Source organism: Homo sapiens, chromosome 14, assembly GCF_000001405.40.
Source record: "Homo sapiens chromosome 14, GRCh38.p14 Primary Assembly".
Taxonomy (NCBI): Eukaryota; Metazoa; Chordata; class Mammalia; order Primates; family Hominidae; genus Homo; species Homo sapiens.
This window is the reverse complement of record NC_000014.9, coordinates 31,334,761-31,360,572: the sequence shown is the minus strand read 5'-3', so window position 1 is coordinate 31,360,572 and position 25,812 is coordinate 31,334,761. Positions and strand designations below refer to the sequence as shown.

At 37.5% G+C, this 25,812-nt stretch overlaps 1 protein-coding gene across 1 annotated transcript in view; it reads left to right on the top strand.

Annotated features, from left to right (window-relative positions):
• HEATR5A (HEAT repeat containing 5A) overlaps nt 1-25,812 on the top strand; it is a 128,763-nt gene that overhangs the window by 59,978 nt on the left and 42,973 nt on the right. The window contains exons 15-22 of the mRNA NM_015473.4: nt 1,516-1,679; nt 1,761-1,936; nt 9,856-9,961; nt 10,594-10,784; nt 12,666-12,825; nt 15,297-15,486; nt 16,508-16,677; nt 22,959-23,097. Coding sequence (NP_056288.2) covers nt 1,516-1,679; nt 1,761-1,936; nt 9,856-9,961; nt 10,594-10,784; nt 12,666-12,825; nt 15,297-15,486; nt 16,508-16,677; nt 22,959-23,097 — 1,296 coding nt within the window. The remainder of the gene's footprint in view (nt 1-1,515; nt 1,680-1,760; nt 1,937-9,855; nt 9,962-10,593; nt 10,785-12,665; nt 12,826-15,296; nt 15,487-16,507; nt 16,678-22,958; nt 23,098-25,812) is intronic.

Sequence of the window (25,812 nt, the reverse complement as noted above, 5' to 3'; positions counted from 1 at the left end):
AACCTAACAGAAATTAGGATAAAACATCTTTGAGGTGATCATTGCAGTTAATGTGATAAATGGATCAGCTTTTCAAAGTGTATATGTTAGAGAGGCAACCATATGTTGTCTCCTGTGTTATTGGAGAACACAATACCACTTATGAACTAACCTGCACCCCACCCTGCCCATCACCAAAAGCAAAAATGAGCCCCGTCTAGATACAACTACCAATTTATTTTTTTTAAAAAGTACAGATAGAAGAACAAATTAAGCTATACCAGGGGCCTATAATCATAAAAACCCAGACTGTAGAAAATTGTACAAAACAAATAACCTTGTTTCTTCAAATAAATTACCAGTGAGGGGAAAGGTATAGGGAGAATACTAAATTGAAAGAGACAAGATAAACTAGCTGCAATGTGTACACCTTACTTAGATCTAGATTCAAACACGGAAGCAAACAAAAACAGGTGTTTATGAGATAGTTGGAAATTTGAATACTGAATGGGTACCTGATGTTCAGTGGCTTTTTTTTTTTTTACAACATGAGATTATGATAGCAGGATTATGTTCAAAATAAAATGTATTTCACTTTAATGATACACGGTGAAATATTTATGGATGAAATGATGTGCTGCCTAGGGTTTTCTTAAAAATAATGTGGAGAAATGTGGGATCAGGAATGGGGATGTAGGTGAAATAATACTGTTGCAGCTGGTAAAGATGAATAATGAGCATATGCTGGAAGGGATAGGGGCAGGCATCATCATAGTACTATTATTTATTTATGTTTGAAATTTTCCATAATAACATGTCTAAGTTTTCTCAGGATAATTCTTTTTTTTTTTTTTTTTTTTTTTTGTCTTGAGATGGAGACTCATTCTGTTGCCCAGGCTGGAGTGCAGTGGCTGATCTTGGCTCATTGCAACCTCTGCCTCCCAGATTCAAGCGATTTTCCTGCCTCAGTCTCTGAGTAGCTGGGGTTACAGGCACCTGCCACCACGCCCGGCTAATTTTTGTGTTTTTACTAAAGATGGGGTTTCACCATGTTGGCCAAGCTGGTCTTGAACTCCTGACCTCAAGTGATCCACCCACCTTCGCCTCCCAAAGTGCTGGGATTACAGGTGTGAGCCACCACACCCGGCCTCAGGCTAATTCTTATACATTTTTTCAGACTGTGCTTTTTTAAAAAACATATCTGCTTTTGTAAATCTTTTTTTACATCTATTTTTATATTTTATGTCATGTTATACCTTAAGGTATGTACACACACACACACACACACACACACACACACACACACTCTTACACTTTGAGATGTTCTTTTAGTATCCATTCTTAACCTTGTTACTAGCAACACGTAGTTGAGCCAGTCATTTCTAGGGCAGTTTTCAAGGATGAGAAATACAGTCTTTTGGCTGTGATATGTTAAAGTTGGCCAGTGGGTGCATTAAAGCTCAACCTGAGTTTTAAATCCCATACTCTCACCAGATAATTAATAGTACTAATTGCTCTTTTTCTGTGACTCAACAGGAAACCTCTGTGCTATCCTCAGAGAGCTGGCTGCTGACTTGACTGCCCCTGATATTCAGGTGGCAGCATCTACATTTTTACTTCCACCCCTCTGTCATCAGGATGATCTTTTGATACTAAGTCCTTTCCTACAAGAGACTGACCATAGATTTATTGAAGAACAGGTATGGCCATTTTTTACTCTTGATTAGATTCAATCTGTGATCAGTGATTTTAAAACCTTATATACTTTTTTTCCCTTTTAGCTCCTGCTTGGTAATGGTGTTGCTTGCGGAAGTCTTGAATATGACCCTTATTCGATTTATGAGAAAGATGTAGAGGGAGATTCAGTGCCTAAGCCCTTACCTCCAGCACTATCAGTTATTAGTTCTGCATCCAAGCTCTTTGGGGTTGTATGCGCTCATGTGGGAGAAACTCAAAGGTAAATATCTTCAATGGTTCAGTGAATGGATAATAGAGAACTGGTGGGTAAGAAGAATGTTGCCAGAGATCTCATTAGCGTAAATGATTTCTTATAAATAACAGGTGAAGGTGAAATATAAGTTTTTGTTTAATTATTCACTTGGCTAATACTTAATAAGAAATGATTAAATGCCTAAAACCACTAGAACTGTTGTGGATACAATACTTTGCTCACAGCTTATCATCTAGCTGAAAATACAAATGAAAAATAATGACATAAGATACTGATTTATGAGCAGTCATTACAAAGACACATACTAGGTTTTTTCTTAGACTAGGTCTCATAGGCTTTCTTACCTTGGAAATTTTTTGGAACCATTAAAGGTCCAGGGATTTGTCTTCAGTTGGAGGGATTTTAAATGGTTTTTATCAGTTCACTTAAAATGAACTTTAGACCAGTGGTCCCCAACCTTTTAGGCACCAGGGACCAGTATGGCGAAAGACAGTTCGTCCATGGCGTAGGGATAGGAGGAGGTTTTGGGATAAAACTATTCCACCTCAGATCATCAGGCATTGTGAGGGGTGCACAACCTAGATCCCTCACATGCACAGTTGACAATAGGGTTCACACTCCTGTGAGAATCTAATGCCACTGCTGATCTGACAAGAGTTTGGCTCAGATGATAATGCTCGCTTGCCCGCCACTCACCTCCTGCTGTGCGGCCCAATTCCTAACAGGCCGTGGACCAGTACCAGTCCGTGGCCCACTGGTTGGGGCCCCCCTGCTTTAGAACACACACACATACACACACAAAGATAATAGATATTTAATTAACTTGATTGTGGTAATCTATTTCACAATGTATATATGAGCAAAGCCTCGTTAAAAACATCATGTTGTATACCTCATACTATGTAGGGATTTCCATCTTATGCTATTGTATGTGAAAAATTAATAAATACAAGATGTCCTCCCCAAAAAATGGACTTTGGTTTTGAAAAACCAAAGGGTGATAATGATTTCTCATTGAGAATGATAGTTTCTTAATTAGTAACTGGACATATACATTTCTCAGGCATCAAAATCCACTATCCAGGAAATTCTTGTTACTATCTGAAAAACGAAATGGGAAGTGAATCTCTCTCATAGGCTATTGTGGCTAATAATAGTTTACAAATCACTGTCATCCGCACTGATTCATTCATTCATTTCCTCTCTCTCGACCAACAACCATGCATTTGACTAGATCATAGCTTTTATTATATCTTCTTATCCAGTTATATCTTCCAGAGGATACCAGTTAGACAATTTACCTTTATCTCTTTGGTGAAGACTTAGAAAAATATTTTAATTTCATCACCAACACCTCTCTGAAACAGGTCTTGGGATGATGTGCTTTCATTGCATAGAAAAGTGAATGAAATTTATATTGATTTTTACTAGCTTCAGTTTCAAAAGATAGTGTTTTTTCCAAATGTATTTGTAGCATTTCCTGTAATACTGTAACTATAAGGTTATGGTGATAAGAGAATATATGACTGAATTGTTAATGAATGAAGAGGAAAATTACAGTGGTTTGGAATATTCAAAGAAAGATTCATGGAGAGGATGAAATTTGAACTAGTCTGTAACTGCCTTTTTATAGAGCATATAATTACTTTAGAATAATTAATTTGGATTAATATACCAATAACTACTGTGGATGAAACAGGGCTGGCCTTTTAAGCAAAGGATTTAAATTAAGCCTGTTCTTAAATGGTTCCACTATCTTTGATGGGTCTAAGGTGGAAAAGCAAAAAAGAAAATATACTTTTTACAGCCTTTCCTCTTAAAAAAGTGATTTTACTATTCTAGAGAAGTTTTCTTTTCGGATTTATTGCCCAATTGCAGTTTCAGGAAGATCCTTTCTTACTAAGTTTAATGAATTTTTTAATGTGCTCATAGTTTTTGTATCCCCACCTAAGTTATAATAATAATAATGAATATTCAAGGAAGGGGAGATTTTGTTTGTTTTGATAAAAACATTGAGAACAGATAAAAGCAAACCCTATCATTCTGTTTGGATTCTAACAAATTTGGAACAAACAGGATTCTAACTATTTTGGAAAAAAAATAGTAGGTGACCAGGCACAGTAGTTTACACCTGTAACCAAGCACTTTGGGAGGCCAAGGCAGGCAAATTGCTTGAGCCCAACAGTTCAAGAGCAGCCTAGGCAACATGCAAAACTCCTTCTCTACAAAAATAAAAAAATTAGCTGTGCATGGTGGTGTGCAACTGTAGTCCCAGCTACTGAGGAGGCTGAGGTGGGAGGTTCGCTTGATACTGGGAGTTAGAGGTTGCAGTGAGCCAAGATCTCGCCACTGCACTCCAGCCTTAGCAACAGAGCAAGACACTGTCTCAAAAATATATTTATAAAGAAGTGGCCTGGCAAGATCCCAGATACAGAAAGTGGGTTATAAGCAGTTATCCACAGTCTCCAGTAGGTGTCGTTACAGAACCAGAAGATAGAAACTACATGAATAGGGAAGTTAAGTTTCTAATTTCCTGTTATGCCAGATATGATATTTATGTAAAATATCAGGCTGTTTGCTTTTTGGCCTTACATTTGAGTTCTAGAGAAGAAAGGTCTTAATTAAAGTATCTAAATTTAAACAGCAACCGAATATTTCAAGCCATTTTGTTGTTATTGTGGTTAGCCTTATGTTTAAACAGTTGTGTAACATGTGGTTGTCCTAAGGTTGGAAATAATACTTACGTAATATAAATTAATGCACAATTTATTAATGCATATGTAATTGTCTTTTAAATTAGTTGATTCTCTCTATTCTGACTGTAGGGTTCTAACGTAAAAATGTTTACCGGTTGGAAAGTCAAGATATTTTATACAGAAAAGAAATAATATTGATCTCAATCATGTATTGTTTGTGGTTACTTTTTTTTTCTTTGAGACAGCCCAGGCTGGAGTGCGGTGGCTCACTGCAACATCCGCCTCCTGGGTTTCAAGTGATTCTCCTGCCTCAGCCTCCCAAGTAGCTGGGATTACAGGCATGCACCCCCATGCCTGGCTAATTTTTGCATCTTTTAGTGGAGATGGGGTTTCATAATGTTGGCCAAGCTGGTCTCAATCTCCTGACCTCAGGTGATCCGCCCTCCTCGGCCTCCCAAAGTGCTGAGATTATAGGCATGAGCCACTATGCCCAGCCTGTGTGTGGTTACTTTATTTTTTGTTTTGTTTTGTTTTGAGACAGAGTTTTGCTCTGTCAACCAGGCTGGAGTGCAGTGGCACCATCTCGGCTCACTGCAACCTCCGCCTCCCAGGTTCAAGTGATTCTCCTGCCTCGGCCTCCCGAGTAGCTGGGACTACAGCACACGCCACCATGCCTGGCTAATTTTTATATTTTTAGTAGAGATGGGCTTTCGCCATGTTGGCCAGGCTGTTCTTGAACTCCTGACCTCAGGTGATCTGCCCCCGTCAGCCTCCCAAAGTCCTGGGATTACAGGTGTAAGCTACTGCTCCTGGCCTGCGTTTGTGGTTGCTTTTAAATAGATTTTCATCTAATTGCAAAGAATGAGTTGATTAATTCACCTGAGGATTGTTCCACCCCTGACTTGCACATTGGAATTATCCAGGCAAATTTTTAAGATACTGAAGATCCTGATTAGTATGGTATGCATACTATGGTGGTGGGCACTGAAAGTTTTTAAACTCCTTAGGTGATTGTGATAAATGGACTGCTTCAACAAATGATGTCACTTGGGAATGGATGGACAGAGAGGAAAAGCTTAAACAGTTATAATTCTCAGTAGTAAAAAATTTTGCCATTATATACCCTCTAAAAAGTATTATTTTGTTTTTGTTTGTGGTTACTGTTTTGTGTATACTGTGTGTACCCCCTGTCTAAAGGGTTTATAATGTAAAATGTATAATGTAAAATAAATCAACATTTTCAAATGTTACATCTTCACCCTTTATTCAGTTAACTGCACTTTTATTCCATCTAGACTCAAAACTTTTAGTACCTATCATTTCATTCCAAACTGATAATTATATGTTATAATTGATACTACTTATGAGTACTAATTCAGTATTACTAAAAATAACTCATCTCCATCTTCCTGAAGATCAGAATCTTTTGTTGAGATCTCTATAGGAATTGGTGTCATATATCTTGAATCCTTGATTAGTTAATAGTGTATTCAATCTCTTTCAGGATTGGGGGGCAGAAGATGAAGAAAAAGATTTTGAGCTCTGACAATCCTGTTTTGTAGTCTTTGGTCCATGAATGTGGTCAAGAAATAATTGTATAGGTCAACTTATAGTACAGTGCAACAAATTCTTAATCTCTAACCTTACGTATTTTTATAACTTCCAGTGCGATACAATTTCATGATAACAGATGTAGGATATGATCTAATAATGACGTTATAGGTTTTTAAACTTGGGAGCTTGATCATACAGTTATTCTTAATTCCCCATTGTTGTCACATTTACCCTCCGTAATCTTCCTGTAGGTTGCTTTGGACATAAATATGTTCTTAAAAAAAAAAAAATGCCGGCCAGGCGCAGTGGCTCACTCCTGTAATCCCAGCACTTTGGGAAGCCGAGGCGGGCGGATCACGAGGCCAAGAGATCAAGACCATCCTGGTTAACACGGTGAAACCCCGTCTCTACTAAAAATAAAAAAAAATTAGCCAGGTGTAGTGTGGGCGCCTGTAGTCCCAGCTACTCAGGAGGCTGAGACACAAGAATGGCATGAACCTGGGAGGCAGAGCTTGCAGTGAGTTGAGATCACGCCACTGCACTCCAGCCTGGGCGACAGAGCGAGACTCCATCTCAAAAAAAAACAAAAAATGCCTTAAATATGGACTTAAACAATGGGCAGAAAACTTTTCTTGTTTGTTTTTGTGATTTTTTTTTGAGGCAGCGTCTCATTCTGTCATCCAGGCTGGAATGCAGTGGTGCTATTTTGCCTCACTGCAGCTTCAGTCTCCCAAGCTCAAGCAATCGTCCTGCCTCAGCTTCCTAAGTAGCTGGGTCTACAGTCAGGCACCAATACACTGGCTAATTTTTTTTCTTTTTAGTGGAGATAAGGTCTCACTATGTTGCCTAGGCTGGTCTCGAACTCATGGGCTCAAGCGATCCTCCTGCCTCTGCCGCCCAAAGTGCTAGAATTACAGGCGTGAGCCACCAGAAAAATTTTCATATGCAAGATACTTAGCATGTTATTTGTAATAAGAAAAATTAGAAATAGCCTAAATGTCCCAAACTAGGAAGTTGGTTAAATAAATTATGTTGCCAGAATATACAATACTAGTAGCTATTCAGTAATACTATTATAGTAAAACCATATAATAGTTAATAAGATGGGAAAATCCCTGATAATATTGTTTAGGGGAAACAAAACAAGTTATTAACAAAGTATGTACAATACAATCTCTGTTTTCTAAAAATTTTACTCATATGTCTAAGGGAGAAAAGAACAAAGATGTCAAAATGTTAATGGCGGCTCTTTGTAGGTGGTGGGATTTGGGGTAAATTTTATTTTTTTTTTAATGTGCTTTTCTGAGTTTTTCAAATTTATTACGATAAATACAATTAACCTTGAAGTAAGGAAATAAGTACTTTTCTAAGTATTCTTAGTGTTCCACCATTTTTATTACATTTTATTTTTATTTTTATTTTTATTTTTTATTTTTGGAGATGGAGTCTCGCTTTGTCACCCAGGCTGGAGTACAGCGGTGCCATCTCAGCTCACTGCAACCTCCACTCTTGGCTCAAGCAGTTCTCCTACCTCAGCCTCCCAAGTAGCTGGGAGTACAGGCACATGCCACCACGCCTGGCTAGTTTTTATATTTTTAATAGAGATGGAGTTTCACCATGTTGTCCAGGCTGGTCTCAAACTCCTGACATCAGGTGATCTTCCCACCTTGGCTTCCTAAAGTGCTGGGATTGTAGGTGTTTGCCATTGCGCCTGGCCTTTATTACATTTTATAAATTGATTTTATACATACTGCTTTCCCCAACCCTTATGATGTACACATAGCCTCGATACCTTCCTTTTTACTCTTTAACTCCTTGTACAGTTAGGTTTTTTAAAGGCACGATCCCCATGTCTATTCTGATTTGATAATAAAATTGCCATTTACAGGACAGCTTGCCTTGTAGCCTCAGCAGAATGATGGAGATCTAGTTTTAAAGGACTTAGGGATATTATTGAAAGTACATGAAGGTCAGATGAAAGTATATCCATATTTTCATGTTCAGCCAGTCATGCCGTGTGTTTAATTACCTGATGCTGTTGTCTTTTATGCTTGCTTAATAAGCACACCTGACTGCCTACTACATGCCAAACACAAGATATTAGGGAGATGAAGATAAAATTATAAGCTTCCTGCCATCAAGATAATTTACAACTGAAAAAGTTATCTTCAGCGTATTTCAGGTTTCTCATTTAAAGGGAGAAAAGAGGGAAAATGAAGTATAGGGCACAGAAACAATGTTTTAAAGAGAAATTAATGGTAAGATGGGGTGGTTTATTTTATGGTTACATGTATTTAATCTTGACATAAGGAATTAAAACCTCTGTGCTATAAGGACATGAAATATTGTGTGTATTTATCTTAATTAGAATTGTGAAAATTCGAACATTTTTCTCACCAGTAGCAGAGTGGTTGAATAAATTTTAGTATGTGTATATAATGAAATTTGGATTCACAAACATTATAAAAGAAGAAAAATGACCAGGCACAGTGGTTTACCCCTATAATCCTAGCACTTTCAGAGGCCGAGGCTGGAGGATCGCTTGAGCTTAGGAGTTCAAGACCAGCCTAAGCAACATAGTGAGATATCATCTCTTTTAAAAAAAAAAAAAAATTAGCAGGGTGTGGGTAATGTGTTCCTATACTCCCAGGTACTTTGGTGGCTGAGGCTGGAGGATCACTTAAGCCCAGGAGGTCGAGGCTGCAATGAGCTATGATGGCATCTATAGCTAACCAGAAGCACCATAGCTCTTTGGATCCCCAACTATGCTTTGAAAATATACTTGGGACTATACTATATGTAAAACAATTTTAACTCTTGCTTTTTTCATTTAACATTACCTTTTTAGCACTTTTCACATCATTTTTATTGTTTTTTTTTTTTTCTTTCTTTCTTTCTCTGAGACAGGATCTTGCTTTGTCACCCAGGCTGGAGTACAGTGGCATGATCATAGCTCACTGTAACCTTGAACTCCTGGGCTCAAGTGACCCTTCTGCTTCAGCCTCCTGGGTAGCTAGGACTACAGTCATGTGCCACTATGCCTAGCTAACTTTTTGATTTCTTGTAGCATCAGAGGTCTCACTGTGTTGCCCAGGCTGGTCGTAAACTCCTAGCTTCAAGCAGTCTTCCTGCCTTGAATTCTGTGAGGCTATGTGTTACATATAATATTTGTGGAGTTATATCAATATTGACTACATTTGTTGGTATTATCTCAAATTTTAGTTTTCCAGTTATTGGAATGTGCATTCTCATGCTTACAATTACTGCAGTAGTTTAAAGAACCTAAAGTGTGAAGTTTAAATGGTATTGAGAGGCCAGGGGCAGTGGTTCACACCTGTAATCCCAGCACTTTGGGAGGCCAAGGTGGGCGGATCACTTGAGATCAGGAGTTCAAGACCAGCCTGGCCAACATGGTGAAACTACTACTACTCTACTAAAAATACAAAAATTAACCGGGTGTGGTGGTGCACACCTGTAATCCCAGCTACTTGGGAGACTGAGGTGAGAGAATCTCTTGAGCCAGGAAGGTGGAGGTTGTAGTGAGCCGAGATGGTGCCAGTATACTCTAGCCTGGGTGACAGAGTGAGACTCCGTCTCAAACAAACAAACAAACAAACAAACAAACAAACAAAAACTTACCTACTTGCTTTTAAATCCTGTTATTTCTGATTGTAGGCTTCTTATATTGGAACAGCTTTTGGACAGTATAAAGCACACAAAAGGAGCTCGTCAGCAAGTGGTTCAGTTACATGTTGTTTCTTCAGTTTCTAGTTTCTTGAAGGTAATTATTATTTTTTTCATTTAAATGTTGGCTTCATTTTTTAAAAAATTTGTAGCCAATGAAGTTTGTCGGAGGATGATGTTTTTAAAATGCTCTTTTTTCCTTCATTTTTCTTAATCTCTTGATGAAAAGTTTTCAGGATTTGGAATTCTCCTTTTACTTTTTGTCCACATAAAACTTGTTAGAAATCAAACCTATAATCTCTGCATAGAGCCATGCATTAACCTACCAATCCTGATATCCTGGGCCAGGGATTGATAGACTATGGCCTGTGGACCAAATCCAGCTCATTGTTACTTATGACTTACCGTTTCTATGTACAGTAAAATATAATAGACTTCATTAGTCGCTTATTTTGTGGACATCTCTGTTAATGTTCTTTCAAACCATTTATACCTTAATGATAATTGATTACCGTATTGCTGCCTGGAGGTTTAAAATTCTAAAGTGCTTTGTAAAAAAAAATGAAATTATATTTGTATTATCAGTGTGGATTTTTGTGTTCTTATTTGTTTTTAAGTAGTAATCCAAGTATGAACATATTTGGATTTGGTTAACCAGAATGTACATTCCTAACTGGATATGAGAATTTACTACAATTGTAAGTTTGGGTTGTTCTTTACATATTTCAGTACGTGGCTGGCTCCAAGGGATGTTTAGGTCCAGAAGAAATGAAAAGATTTGCCTTAACATTAGTTATGGGAGCCCTAGAAAGCCCCAACCCCTTGCTGAGATGTGCAGCTGCAGAGTCATGGGCTAGATTAGCCCAAGTGGTAGATGATGGAGCTTTTACTGCTGGATTAGCTCAAGTTAGCTTTGACAAGTAAGTGAATTTCTTATTTAATATTCAGAGGCTATGTTTCAAAACTGGGTATAGCTTTCTGGCTTGTTGGAACTAGTAAGATCTTCATTCTGAGATTTAACTAAGAAAAGAAAAATTGTCAAATGTTGACTGCTAAAGGAAAGAAAATAAAAATTGGCCGGCTGGTCTTGGCACATAAAACAACTACTATTTCAGCTATAGTCTTTATATAATAAGAAAGATCAGAATCTATATGAGTGATGTAATTGATCATCAATGGGATGGACTCTAGGATAGTGAAATATTTATACAGTTTTATAATGTAAAACATATATGATAAGTAATAAGAACAAACTACAGGAAAAAGAAAAGGCTGTAGGCTGCAGATGAGGAAACAAACGGTACTTTCATGTCTTTTTTTTTTTTGAGACGGAGTCTCACCCTGTCGCCCAGGCTGGAGTGCAGTGGCGCGATCTCGGCTTACTGCAAGCTCCGCCTCCCAGGTTCACGCCATCAGCCTCAGCCTCGCGAGTAGCTGGGATTACAGGCATGTGCCACCACCCGGCTACTTTTTGTATTTTTTTAGTAGAGACGGGGTTTCTCCATGCTGGCCAGGCTGGTCTCGAACTCCTGACCTTGTGTTCCGCCCGCCTCAGCCTCCCAAAGTGCTGGGATTAAAAGCGTGGACCACTGCTCCTGGCCTGTACTTTCATTTCTATCAGTTGTATAACTTTTAGTAGATTACTTAATCCTCTCAGCCAGTGTTCTTCTATTCCAGGAGGTACTGCGCTACCTACTTAAGAATGTTAAGGTAAATGAGATAGTAAATATAAAAGTAATATGGGAAAAAAGCCTACAAATAAAACTTTGTGGTTATATTAGTTATATATGTATAATAAGTTATATTAGGAGTGGTGGTGGTAGTATTGATAGCACTTTGACCTTGGAGCCTACTGAATATGTGTGTCTGATTTGAAGGATGGAGTCAGGTTATTAACTTGGCTCTAATCCCAACTCTACCATTTGATAGTTGGTTATTTTGTGAGAGCTATTTGAGCTTTCATTTTGGTTTCCTCATCTATAGACAGGAACTGATAATAGTATGAATTCCAGGGTTGTTGAGAGGATTAAAGAAGGGCTAAATATAAACCACTTAAATGAGCACACAGTACATAGAAAATTCCTAATAAACATTAACTTCTCTTGTATTTAATTTTATTTATTTTCGATACAACGTCTTGCTCTGTCACCCAGGTTGGAGTACAGTGGTGTGATTGTGGCTCACTGCAGCCTCGAACTCCTGGACTCCAGCAATACTCCAGCCTCAGCCTCCCGAGTGACTGGGACTACAGGCTTGTGACACTACGCCCAGTTAATTAAAACAATTTTTTTTTTTAGTAGAGACAGGGTCTCATTATGTTGTCCAGGCTGATCTCAAACTCCTGGGTTGAAGTGATCCTCCCGCCTTGGCCTCCCAAAGTGCTGAGAGTACAGGCGTGAGCTACCACACCTAGCCTATTTAATTTTAACATCAAAATTAAGTTGAAACTCTATGAAATTAAAGTATCTCAGCATTTGAGTTTTTAAAATGTAACTTAATGATAAAGTAATAATAATGCTTATCTTAAAAACCTTCTTCATGTATATATATGAAAGACATTGAAACTGCTCATACTAAACTAATCATTAATAATATGAGGACATTTTGATTCAAAATGTTTTCCTTTGCAAGATGCCTTTCGGTTACTTCAGAAGTTTTTATTAGTTAGCCAAAAATGTATTTCTAAATTTTGCAACTATCCATATAAAAAGTTTTGCCTAAGTGACAGTGTACATGCATTAGTTTTTGTGTTTTTTTTCTTTTGCAGTGATTACCGTTTATTTTTATTTTTATATTTACAGATTGAAATCAGCAAGGGATGTGGTTACCAGAACAGGACACTCATTGGCCTTGGGGTCCCTACATAGGTATTTAGGAGGAATAAGTTCTTCTCAACACCTAAATTCTTGTATTGGAATCCTTTATACTTTGGCGCAGGACAGCACTTCTCCTGATGTGCAGGTGGGTACCTCATGTGATACTTCCCTTGAAATTCATGATTTTTAGATGATGCAGATTGTGTTTATATTGAACATTAATAATTTATGAATATAGTTTCCTCCCATAGTAATTGTGGAAGCCGTTGTTAACCTTGGTGGATTTTTAAAATTAAAATCTTCCCCCACACTCAGAGTCTGAAGTCAATTTCAGTGTGTTTTTCTGAAAATGTATCTCTGTTCCATCTTAATGATAGCTTTGGGCTAGAAGTGGTGGCTCACGCACATACTCTCACACTTCAGGATGCCGAGGCAGGCAGATTGCTTGAGCTCAGGAGTTCAAGACCAGTCTGGGCAACATGGTAAAACACTGTCTCTACAAAAGATACAAAAATTAGCCGGGCATGATGGTATGCATCTGTGGTCTCAGCTACTCAGGAGGCTGAGGTGGGAGGATGGCTTGAGCCGGGGAGACAGAGGTTGCCATAAGTCCAGATTGTGCCACTATGCTCCAGCCTAGGCAACAGAGCCAGACCCTATCTCAAAAATAATAATAATAGTAATAAATAATAATAACAGCATCTACTATTTTAAAGAGCTTAATAGGTACCAGGTGTTACGATACATTCTTCTAAGTCTCATAGTAATTCTTTTAGTCCTTGTAATAATTTATTAGGGTGTATATAGCCCATTATGGGGAAATAAAACTGAGGCTTAAGAAGCTAAGCAACTTGCTCACAACTGAAAAGCTAATAAATCATGGAATCAGATCAAGAACACAAGTCATAGACTCCAAACTCCTGTTCTTAACCACTTTACCATATCGTTGTACATATCTTACCTATTTCTGTCAGTAAAATCATCATTCTCCTATCTTAATCAAATATGGAATGATTTTTATTTCTCCCGTTCTTTTACTCCCCTTCTGTCGTCTTATCTGTCTCCCTTATTAATGTGTGCCAAATTACTGTCATAGCCTCCTAATTCGTCACATTTTTAGGTCCTTTTCTTTCGAACTCTCTCTAGATATAAGGCTAAATTCGTTTTCCTAAAAGATTTTCATCTTGCCACTTTCCTGCAGAAAAGCTTGACAAAGTGCTTATTGCTTCTTGAATCAACTTCTTTATTCCAGTCCCATCAACTGACCCCACAGATGTTTTCTGTTACTACCTCAAAGTGTTGACTTCTACAGATGATTTATCCACATGTCATTCTCATGTCTACATTTACCTTTTCTTTTTCTCTTCTCTCCTTACATGCCTATTTGATATTCCACATCTTTTAGTCTTTTAAGATCCAGTATAACCACCATCTCACCAAGCTTTAATCCAGTTAGCTTTCCCCCTCTGAATTACCATATTACTACTCGCCTCCTCCACTTCATCTAGTACTTGACTGAATTGACTTACAAGGTTTCCATTTTTCACCCGTCTTTATATATAGTACTTTTTGCTTCTATTATATTCTTCTTCTCTCTCTTCAAGAAGTCTATTCTGAATGTACCTAGTTGTATATTGAATACCTTTTTTGTTGATTAATTCATATACTTTCTGTGGCTGTCAGTGTCATTTCTGAATTTTCTTGATTGCTCTCTCTCACCTAACAAATAGGAGCTCATTTTTGCAGCATTTAAAGTACTGTAAGCTTTCTTATACATCCATTGATAAGAGGAATAAAACTTTTTCAGTTCATTTTCTGAAGAGAGAGCTTTTAATTTACTTCTTGTTATAGAACATTAAAACGTACACAAAATTAGAAAGTATACTGCAATGAATCTATTATACTCATCACCTAACTTCAGTGGTTATCAGTATATGACCAGTCTTTTTTCATTTAAACCATTGTGTGTGTGTGTGTGCGTGTGTGCATGTGTGTGCGCACCTGCCATAAATGCACATATCTATGTACAAACAGTACATTATGTAACCACCTCCCGAAATCAAGAAACAGTCCATTATCAATACCCCATACACACTTCTCATACTGTCTTCTAGTTAACTACCTGCCCCCACCAAGGATAACCACTATCCTAATTTGCAACAGCATAAATTAGTTTTGCTTGCTTCTATACTTTATGTAAATGGAATCATACAACATATATTCTTTTATGTCTGGTTTTCTTCACTCAACATTATGTTCAAGAGATTTGTCCATATTGTTGAATGTAATTGTAGATTTTGTTGAATCTTTTTAAAAACTTGAATTTTCATTCTTTCTATAGATTAAACAATAAACAATTTTTCAACAAACTAGATTTGATTCAAACTGTTAGCTGAAGTACCAACTATTACTTGCAATTCTTAATGATGAACTATATCATTCTAAATTGGATGATTGCCTCTGAGTTGGAAGTCCTCCATTTCTCTTTCCACATGAGTAGTAGCATTCACATTTGCTGTTACTTTATCACTTGCTTCAACAAAAGAACAAGTTAATTTATTTTATGTTTCTTAATGCTGCTGTAATGTTTTTAATTGTTTTTCTTTGTCATTACAGACCTGGGCATTACATTCTCTATCATTGATCATTGATTCTGCTGGCCCACTCTATTATGTGCATGTGGAACCTACCCTTTCTCTTATTATAATGTTGTTGTTAAATGTGCCTCCTACTCATGCTGAAGTTCACCAAAGCCTTGGTCGCTGTTTGAATGCCCTTATTACCACGTTAGGTCCAGAGCTACAAGGTGTGCATAGCTGCTTTTGTGATGTTTTACATTAAAAATAATACACATAAAAGTGAATTCAGTTCCTAGTCTGTATGCTTGGCACGTGATAGGTGCTGTATGTTTTGTTAAATGAATGTATAAATGCCATTCAGCCTGATTTCTCTTACCTTGAAAAGACAGAGTACAATATTTAGACAATTACATATCTCCTAAAGATGCCTTCCTTAACAGTTAAAATGACAGACATGAAGCAGAATCATCCAAAGAGCTGTGTTCTCTATTTAAGAAATAAATGGCTAAGTCCAAAATTTCAAATATTACGAGCTGTTCAAATTGCATACTATTACATGATTATAATACATGAAAGTAATTCTTAACTAATACAAGTGAGGCTAAGTTTATTGGCAATTTCTAATTCCACTTTTTATGAAAATTTGGTATAACCTACTGATAGTCTTAGGTTCTTCTTTGCCTAATAATTTGTGTTGTAATAAACTTTTCAGATTAAGAATAACTAAAGTAGGTCAGGCGCAGTGGCTTTCACCTGTAATCCTAGCACTTTGGGAAGCTGAGGCAGGTGGATCACTGAATCGGGTCAGGAGTTCGAGACCAGCCTGGCCAACATGGTGAAACCCCGTCTCTGCTAAAAATATGAAAAATTAGCCAGGCATGGTGGTGTGCGCCTGTAGTCCCAGCTACTCGGGAGACCGGAGGCAGGAGAATCACTTGAACCCGGAAGCCGGGGGTTGCTGTGAGCCGAAATGGCACCATCGCACTCCAGCCTGGGCAACGGACTGAGACTCTGTCTCAAAAAAAAAAAAAAAAAAAAAAAAAAAGAATAACTAATCTAACAATCTGTAACTTAGATTATCCCTACTTTTGTAGAAGAAATTGTACATCACAGATTTGTAGTGACTGTAAATTTTAAAACCTGTAATATATGTTTAAACTGGAAGTAAATTTTAAAACCTGTAATATATGTTTAAAGAGTAATGTTTTTATAGGCCAATTATTAAAAGCTTTCTGCTTTTTATTTTAGGTAACAGTACTTCAATTTCTACCTTAAGGACTTCCTGTCTACTGGGTTGTGCAGTAATGCAAGATAACCCAGACTGCCTTGTTCAAGCTCAGGCCATCTCTTGCCTTCAGCAGCTTCATATGTTTGCTCCACGACATGTCAACTTGTCTAGCCTGGTTAGCTGCCTCTGTGTGAGTATAGAATTGTAAACGAGCTCTTAGTTTCTTTTATTTGAATCTTAGATTTATTCCAGTACACATTTTAATTATACTCTAGACTATGTACAAAGTTATGTGTTATATACGTAGCTATTTCCCCTCAGTTCTAGTCTTTTTCGGGAGTAGGGGGCAGCTTTCATGCAATCAGCTCCTAAGTCTCTCTTCTATTAATTTTTCTCCCATTGTTGTACTTGATATTTGGAATATTTATTCATAAATCAATGAAAACATATTGTGTGCTTATAATGTCCCATGTACTATATAAATGCTGTAGGACATGCAAAACTCTATGTGGTCACCTGTCTTTTTTTCTTCTTTTTCATCTATTCTAAGTTCTTTGCATCCCAGATGGAGAAATAACACTTTTCCTTAATATTCCAGCAACATATGCATCAATATCTGGCTTCTAATATTGTATCTACTGAATGTAGAAAGATAAAGGCCATCAACCAGAAGTTCCTTTGAAGTGGTTCATTGTCATTGGTTTTAAGACTTCCCCTGGCCAGGCGCAGTGGCTCATGCCTGTAATCCCAGCACTTTGGGAGGCCAAGGTGGGCAGATCAGCCTGGCCAACATGGTGAAACCCCGTCTCTACTAAAAATACAAAAATTAGCTGGGCGTGGTGGTGGGTGCCTGTAATCCCAGCTACTCAGGAGGCTGAGCCAGGAGAATCGCTTGAACCCGGGAGGTGGAGGTTGCAGTGAGCCGAGATCGTGCCATTGGCACTCCAGCCTGGGCAACAAGAGTGAAACTCCGTCTCAGGAAAAAAAAAAAAAAAAAGATTTACCATGTCACCAGTTTCTATCTGGACTTGCCTCAAAAACTGAGTTGCATTTGGAATTATAAATTGGCACCATGGCTTTTCAAATTTTTCTACTCCTGCAGTATTCGTAGCACACTCCCATTAGTAACGTGACTGTTGAAAATCATTATATAGACCTTTCATTTTCAAGCTTGAGGCAAAATATGCAGCATTTCAGAGCTTGAAAGAACCTCAGAATCTTAAAAATCTGTCGTGTAGATTATCCCTACTTTTGTAGAATGGTGTTTGCATTATTAAAACCAATCTTCTCAGTAAAAAGATAAACTGAAGACCGAAAAGTTAAATAAAGTAACACATCTAGCTCACCTAAGTGGTGGCTAAATCTACATTGTGGGTTTCTGGACTCCTCCTTCAGTCCTCATTTCATTATTCCATACTACCTTTGTAGATTTTATGGATAGATCTTATCTCAACTCTGCCACCTCCTAGCTGTGCACCTTTAGGGAAGTCCCGTAATCTCTTCTAGCCTCAGCTACCTTGTCTGCAAAACATGAGGATTACACAAAATGCTGCTTGTAAAGGCAAATGTCTCAGGCATTTAGTTAGTACTCAATAATGGTAGTTGCCTTTGCTGTCTTGACATGTGTCTTCAACATACAGTATATTATTATATTAATTATTGATACTGATAGTCATATAAAACTATTTATTTATTTATTTTAGAGGCACAGTCTCACTTTGTCAGGCTGGAGTGCGGTGGTGCAATCATAGCTCACAGTAGCCTCGAACTCCTGGGCTCAAGTGATCCTCCCCCTTCAGCCTCCGAAGTAGCTCGGACTACAGTAAAGTACCACCACACCTAGCTAATTTTTTTTCTTTTTTGTAGAGACAGGGTCTTGCTATGTTACCCAGGCTGGTCTTGAACTTCTGGTCTCAAGCCATCCTCCTGCCTCAGCCCCACAAAGTGCTGGGATTAGAGGTGTGAGCCACCATGCCTAGCCCAATAAAACTTTAAAAAGAGAATTTGACTGACTTTCTGATAGAAACTTTTGTTCCTGTATTTTTTTAGATCTGGGTCAATCATGTATTAGGGAAAACAGCACTTACAGGAAAAGGATTTTACCTGTACCATTCAGGGACTCTTCCCCAGGAATATTACTTTTATATTTGAAGAGTCATTCCTAAAACCAGTTATTGAAAAATTTTTCACTCCTTTGCATTTGATCTTTTACTCTCCATTTAAATTAAGTGATACTGCCGTTTTTTCTTCTTGTCTTGTAGAAGATTTCCATTAATTACCTATAAAATTTCTCCTTTACCTGATACATGATTTTTTTATTAATTAAAGTTTATTGAGAAATGAAGAACAAGAATAACCCATTAATTCATGATGAATAAAATCTGATCAGCTGGGCACAATGGCTCATACCTGTAGTTCCAGCGCTTTGGGAGGTCAAGGTAGAAGGATCATTTGAGCCCAGGAGTTCAAAACCAGCCTGGGGAACATACTGAGACCTTGTCTCTACAAAAAATTTTAAGAAAATTATCCGGGCATGGTGGTGTGCACCTGTAGTCCCACTACTACTTGGGAGGCTGAGGTGAGAGGATCACCTGAATCCAGGATGTTGAGGCAACAGTGAGCCATGATTGCGCCACTGCACTCCACCCTGGGCAATGGAGCAAGACACTGTCTCAAAAATATAAATAAATAAAATCTGATCAAACTTATTAACTTTTTGCCTTCCCAAATCAAAAAAGGGTACATATTTACTGCAGGAAAAAAAAATAGGCATCAAAAAAAAAGTTACATATGAAAAAGAATAGAGATTATTATATTATCAGACTTTTCTTTTGGGTACATTAGAGCAAGTGAGAAGATCTGAAGTAACAGTTACAAATCGTATGTTAACTCATAATATTCAAGCTGTAAAATGATTTTTTTAATACACAATCATAGTCAAAAATTATCACTATAGTGTATTAATTTAGTGTCTCAATATTTTGGTTAGTAATTTATTCTGAATTTATTAGATTGAATTTGTTATATTTTAGAGTATTCACCAAAGTAAGGAAATTGCATTTCATCATTAGGCAAAAATCCTACTGGGAAGTATTTTCCTTTAACTGCATGCTCTTTAACTTCCGTTCTAAACTTGGCCTTAGCTACACTAGCAATTCTGAATACTCTTAGTTTTAAAACTTGGCTTCTAAGAGTTAAACTATAATTAACTTCTGATGAGGTAAACCATTAACTTTGCCTCTTGCTGGACACCTGTTCATGTGAATGCAATCCAGATCACTCCTCTCAACACTTATGTCTACTTGATTGGGTTTGATACTGAGGCTTAATCAGAGATTCTGAAGAAAAACCTAAAATTAATCACATGTACATTTTAAAATTATATATTTACGTCTTAGAGTTCTTGAGTTGACTATTTTCAAAAACTTGGCTCAACTCATTTTGTTGGAAAATAAAATATTTGTGGCAAATTTTTAAGCTGAAGCTAAGCCAATTTAAATAATAACTATCAACATTTATATTTTAATGCTTAGCTGACTGTTGTCAAAGTCATCCTAATATTTATCTTTTGGTTTTGTCATGACTGGTGTGTCATTTGTTTTTGTGCAGGAGATCTTGTTGGATAATTCTGTGTTGGTAGGTCCCTGACCCTTGATTCCTAACTTTTTTTGAGTTTTGCGGTGCTGTTTCTTTGTGTCATTTTTTGGTTGTAGATGTTTGTTTCCTCTGCATCTCTTTTTTTAAGCGAACCATTAATGCTAAGTCCAGTATGTGTAGCATGTTTCGTGGTGTTTATTTGATACCAGTATAAGCAAATCCTTCCTAACCTTCTCCAGCTGGTGCACTCACTCCTTGCACTAAATTTGGTCTCATTTTTATTTAATATATTCATTTCAGAAAATAATTGTAGTTACAGTTTAATTTAATTTCTGTATTTTGCCTGCTTTGTTTGTTTGCCTTAAGCCACTGTATTCCTCTTCCCAATATAAATGCTGGAGAATGACATGGAGACATTAAGCCTCCCATTTTACTTTGTGTGACAGCCTTCAATCTTTTTTCTACCAAATAAGTAAAGGGTACTTCCAAGCATGCTTTTTCTAAAAGATGTTTGACTAGCCTGAATAAATGCTGCACCTGCTTTGTATTATATGCTTGTAAAACTCCAGTTGAAATGACTAGTAGATTTATTAACTTTCCTTTAAAATTGTCTTGTAAAGTGCTTTTTTAGTCATTGTTGTTAAATACAACAGTAATCTTGGGGATGAGTAAACATAATCTTTTTATATTTTAACTTCTCTGTTATCCTAACCTGCTAACAATATAGTTTCTAAACATGGGATTACATTATACCTTGAGACTTTTTTATGAATGGCATTCCTTTCTATCCACTTTTGGGTTCATAATACAGCTTGAAGGTATAACAGAACATACTTATAAAGCTGTTCCAGCACTCTATCCTGGGTAACAGAGCGATACCCTATCTCAAAAAACAACAACAACAACAACAAAAAACTACTCAGTGATGATATATGCACAAATTTTTTCTGTTTCTTGGCTTCTGATAAAATGTAGAATTTGGCTCTCTTTGCATGTGTTTCTTCTTGTACATTCTTTTTTTTTTTTTTTTTTTTTTTTTGAGACACAGTTTCACTCTGTCACCCAGGCTGGAGTGCAGTGGTGCAATCTCAGCTCACTGCAACTTCTGCCTCCCGGGTTCAAGCGATTCTCCTGCCTCAGCCTCTCCAGTAGCTGGGACTACAGGTGTGTGCCACCACGCCCAGCTAATTTTTATGTTACTAGTAGAGACAGGGCTTGACCATGTTGGCCAGGCTGGTCTCAAACTCCTGACCTCAAGTGATCCACCTGCCTCGGCCTCCCTTGGTGTGAGCCATCATGCCCAGCCCTCTTCTCATATATACATACATACATACATACATATATATATGTTTTTGTTTTTGTTTTTTTTTCCTGAGACACAGTCTGTGTCGCCCAGGCTGGAGTGCAGAGGCGTGATCTCGGCTCACTGCGACCTCCACCTCCCAAGTTCAAGCAATTCTCCTGCCTCAGCCTCCCGAGTAGCAGGGATTACAGACACCTGCCACCATGCCCGGCTAATTTTTTTGTATTTTTTAGCAGAGACAGGGTTTCACCATGTTGGCCAGGGTGGTTTTGAACTCCTGACCTCAAGTGATCTGCCTACCTCGGCCTCCCAAAGTGCTAGCGTTACAGACGTAAGCCACCACACCTGACACTCTTCTTATATATTCTTAATAGCTCCTACTACCTACCTTTTATTTCCTCCCAAAATTTAGCCTCTGCTCTTTATAAAACTTCACCTACTTCAGTCCTGTTTTTCCCACATATGCCAAATCTAAAGATTGCCATAAAATTATGCCATTATTTCTCAAATTTTGCTTTGAAGATCACTACCATAATATACATATTTATTTTGTAGAACATACCAGACTGATCTTTACTTTCATAGTACAAAATTTAAAATCTCAACTTTATTTCATATATGAAATCACTAAGAATTTTTATCCATTAACCTTTGACTTGTAACTGAAGTATATTACCAGTCTTATCATTTGCCATGGGTAGATACAACCTATTGAGATTTACATTGCATCTGTAAGATGTATACATATATGTATTCTATCAATACATAAATATGTATATATATATAAAATTTGGTGTTCTGTAATGCTTGTCTCTAGAGAGCATTTTTGGTGAATGTTTTCTGCCTTTATTTGAAAATGCATTTACTTTGTATGTTGTCTGATTAAAATATTATTGTTAAAAGACCACACTAATAATAACTAACATTTATTGAGCATTTACTATTTGACAGGTACTGTGGTAAGCACTTTGCATGTTGCTTTGTGTTAATGTCACAATAGCCCTGAGAGATGCAGTAGTGTTACAAACGAGGAAACTAAGGCACTCTAGAGGAGTTAAATAATTTGCCCACAGTCACACAGCTAGTAAGTGATGGATCTAGGACTCAAACTGAGACATTTTGACTCCGGAGCCTCCATTTTAACCAATATGCTGTATTGCCTATATGGATGTGTATAAATTTCTGCTTAGAGAATGATAAAACATTATAATATAGTTGCATGAACACAAATGTATGAACTGCAACTAAATCCTTTCCATTGTAGTTCTTTTTTTCTCTTAAAAGTCTATTTACTCATATAAATTCTGCCTTCTGACACTGCCAAAAGACTTTTGTTAGATTTATGAGTAGTGCATAATCTAGTACACATATTACCTATTAAGCTGTTTCTAAGTTACAGAATCAGAAATATATTCTAGAATGGTTTCAAGAAGTTCCTATGTATTTATAAATTGTGTCCAGCCCACTGATGGGCTGGACAGAATCAGGAAGGGGTCCAGTGAATATCTATTAGACTCACTGAGTGCCAACAAGAATTTTAGCTCTGTCGTTCCTCAAATGGTATTTTTCAGGTGAATCTTTGTAGCCCCTACTTGTTACTGAGAAGAGCAGTACTGGCTTGCTTACGTCAGCTTGTACAAAGAGAAGCAGCTGAAGTTTCAGAACATGCTGTTATGCTTGCTAAGGATAGCAGAGAAGAGTTGACTCCAGGTAATTCTCTTGATCAAGATTATGTCCAGCTCAAATGATTATTTTTATTTTAAATTTTCCATATATACATGAGTTTTGAAACAGTTTAAAAGTTAATATGTCTTAAACCTGCTACAAGAAAGAATTGCTAACAGTTATTCCAACCAGTGATGTTACTGATTTAGAGTGGTGGTTCTCAAACTGGTTTTCAAACCAGCAGTGTATACCTTACCTGGGAACTTGTTAGAAATGCAGATTATTGGGACCCATCCCAGACCTACTGAACCAGAAATCTGGGAGTATTACCTGGCAATCTGTATTTTTAAATCTGTATTTTTACAGTCCCTATGTTAGTACAGCTGTGTGCCACATAATGGCATTTTGGTCAACAACAGACTGCACATACAACAGTGGTCCCATAAGATTATAATACCATATCTTCACTGTACTTTTTCTATGTTTTGATACACAAATGTTTACCATTGTGTTATAATTGCCTATAGTATCCAGTACAGTAACTTGTTCTATGGGTTTGTAGCCTATGAGTAATAGGCTATGCCATATAGCCTGTGTGTGTAATCTATACCATCTAGGTTTGGGTAAGTACACTCTATGATGTTCACATGACAATGAAATTGCCTAACAACACATTCTTCAGAACATAATCCTATTACGCCATGCATGACTGTACTAAAGTTTGAGAGCCACTGATCTAGAGCAAGTTTTTTCACCGCAGTCAAATGAAATGGGATTAGCCCTTAAATAATTTATCACACCTGCCTCTGTTTGCCGCAGAATCTCACTTTCATAAAATTTATTATAGATACGTCTGCTACAAGTTAAAGAGTTTTTAATGCCCCTTCTTTTACATTTTAGAGCTGAATTAAAGGATTTCTTAGCCAGTAAGATTTAAGTGTATATCACTTCATTTTAAAACTATGATATGAATAACCTGAATTTGCATATGAATTCAAAGAAACTATTAGCCTACAAAAATAGTAATAATAGGCCAGGTATGGTGGCTCACACCTGTAATCTTAAGCACTTTGTGAGGCTAAGGCGAGAGGACTGTTTTAGGTCAGGAGTTCAAAAACAGCCCTGGGGGCCAGACACACTAGCTCATGCTTGTAATCTCAGCACTTTGGGAGGCCAAGATGGGAGGATGGCCTGAGGCCAGGAGTTCAAGATCAGCCTGGTCAACATAGTGAGACCTCATCTCTATTTTTAAAAATTATATATATATATATATATATATATATATATATATATATATATATATGTATGTATGTATATATAAAAATAACCCCCTGCGCAATATGGCATGACCCCATCTCTACAAAAAATTTTAAAATTAGCCAGGTGTCATGGTACACATCTGTAGTCCCAGCTACTAATTAATCAGGAGGCTGAGAGAAGAGAATTGCTTGAGCCCAGGAGTTTGAGGTTGCTGTGAGTTATTATGCACTGCATAATAACTGCAGCATGGGTTACAGATCAAAACACTGACTCCAAAAAAAAAAAAAGGTAATTATCTTACACCCTGGCTGGTCACAGTGGCTCACGCTTGTAATCCCAGTACTTCGGGAGGCCGAGGTGGGCAGATCACCGGAGGTCAGGAGTTCGAGACCAGCCTGGCCAACATAGCGAAACCCCGTCTCTACTAAAAATATAAAAAATTAGATCTGTGTGGTGGCATGCGCCTGTAGTCCCAGCTACTTGAGAGGCTGAGGCACAAGAATCAGTTGAACCCAGGAGGGGGAGGTTGTAGTGGGCCGAAATTGCACCACTGCACTCCAGCCTGGGCACCAGAGCGAGAATCTGTGTCAAAAAATAATAATAATAATTTATGTATATAGTTTTCAAAGTACCATCATACTTTTAGAAAGTTATAGACTTCACGGAGCTTTTCAGTATCTTAAGCTTTTAGGTCCATAATATATTTTACTATCAGTAATCTATGCTCTTTAAGTAACAGTTTTATTCTCAGGACATTAAAATGTTTAGGGAGCTGGCCCAAGTTGTGGCGGCATGTACTTGTAGTCCCAGCTTCCTTAGAGGCTGAGGTGAGAAGATCACTTTAGCCCAGGAATTCAAGGCCAGCCTGAGCAATATAGTGAGACCTTGTCTCTAACAAAAAAAAAAAATAAAAACTTTTGCTTCAACTTGAATTAATCAGCATGGCTGGGCTGCTATATAGGCATACCTATACACAATACCTAGTATTGTGGGTTTGGTTCCAGACCATGCAATAAAGCAAGTCAGGAATTTTTTTGTTTTCCAGTGCATATCAGAGTTATGTTTGTACTATACTGTAGTCTGCTAAGTGTGAAATAGCATTATGGCTAAAAAAGCAATGTACATACCTTAAATTAAAAATTCTTTATTGCTAAAAGATGCTAACCATCATCTGAGCCTTCAGTGAGTCATAATCTTTTTGCTGGTAGAGGGTCTTGCCTCAGTGTTGATGGCTGCTTAATCAGGGGTGGTGGTTGCTAAAGGTTTGAGGGGGTGGCTGTGGCGATTTCTTTTTCTTTTTTTTTTTTTTTTTTTTGAGATGGAATCTTGCTCTGTCACCCAGGCTGAAGTGCAGTGGCACGATCTTGGCTCACTGCAAGCTCCGCCTCCCGGGTTTCCGCCATTCTCCTGCCTCAGCCTCCCAAGTAGCTGGGACTACAGGTGCCCACCACCACACCCAGCTAATTTTTTATATTTTTAGTAGAGACAGGGTTTCACCAT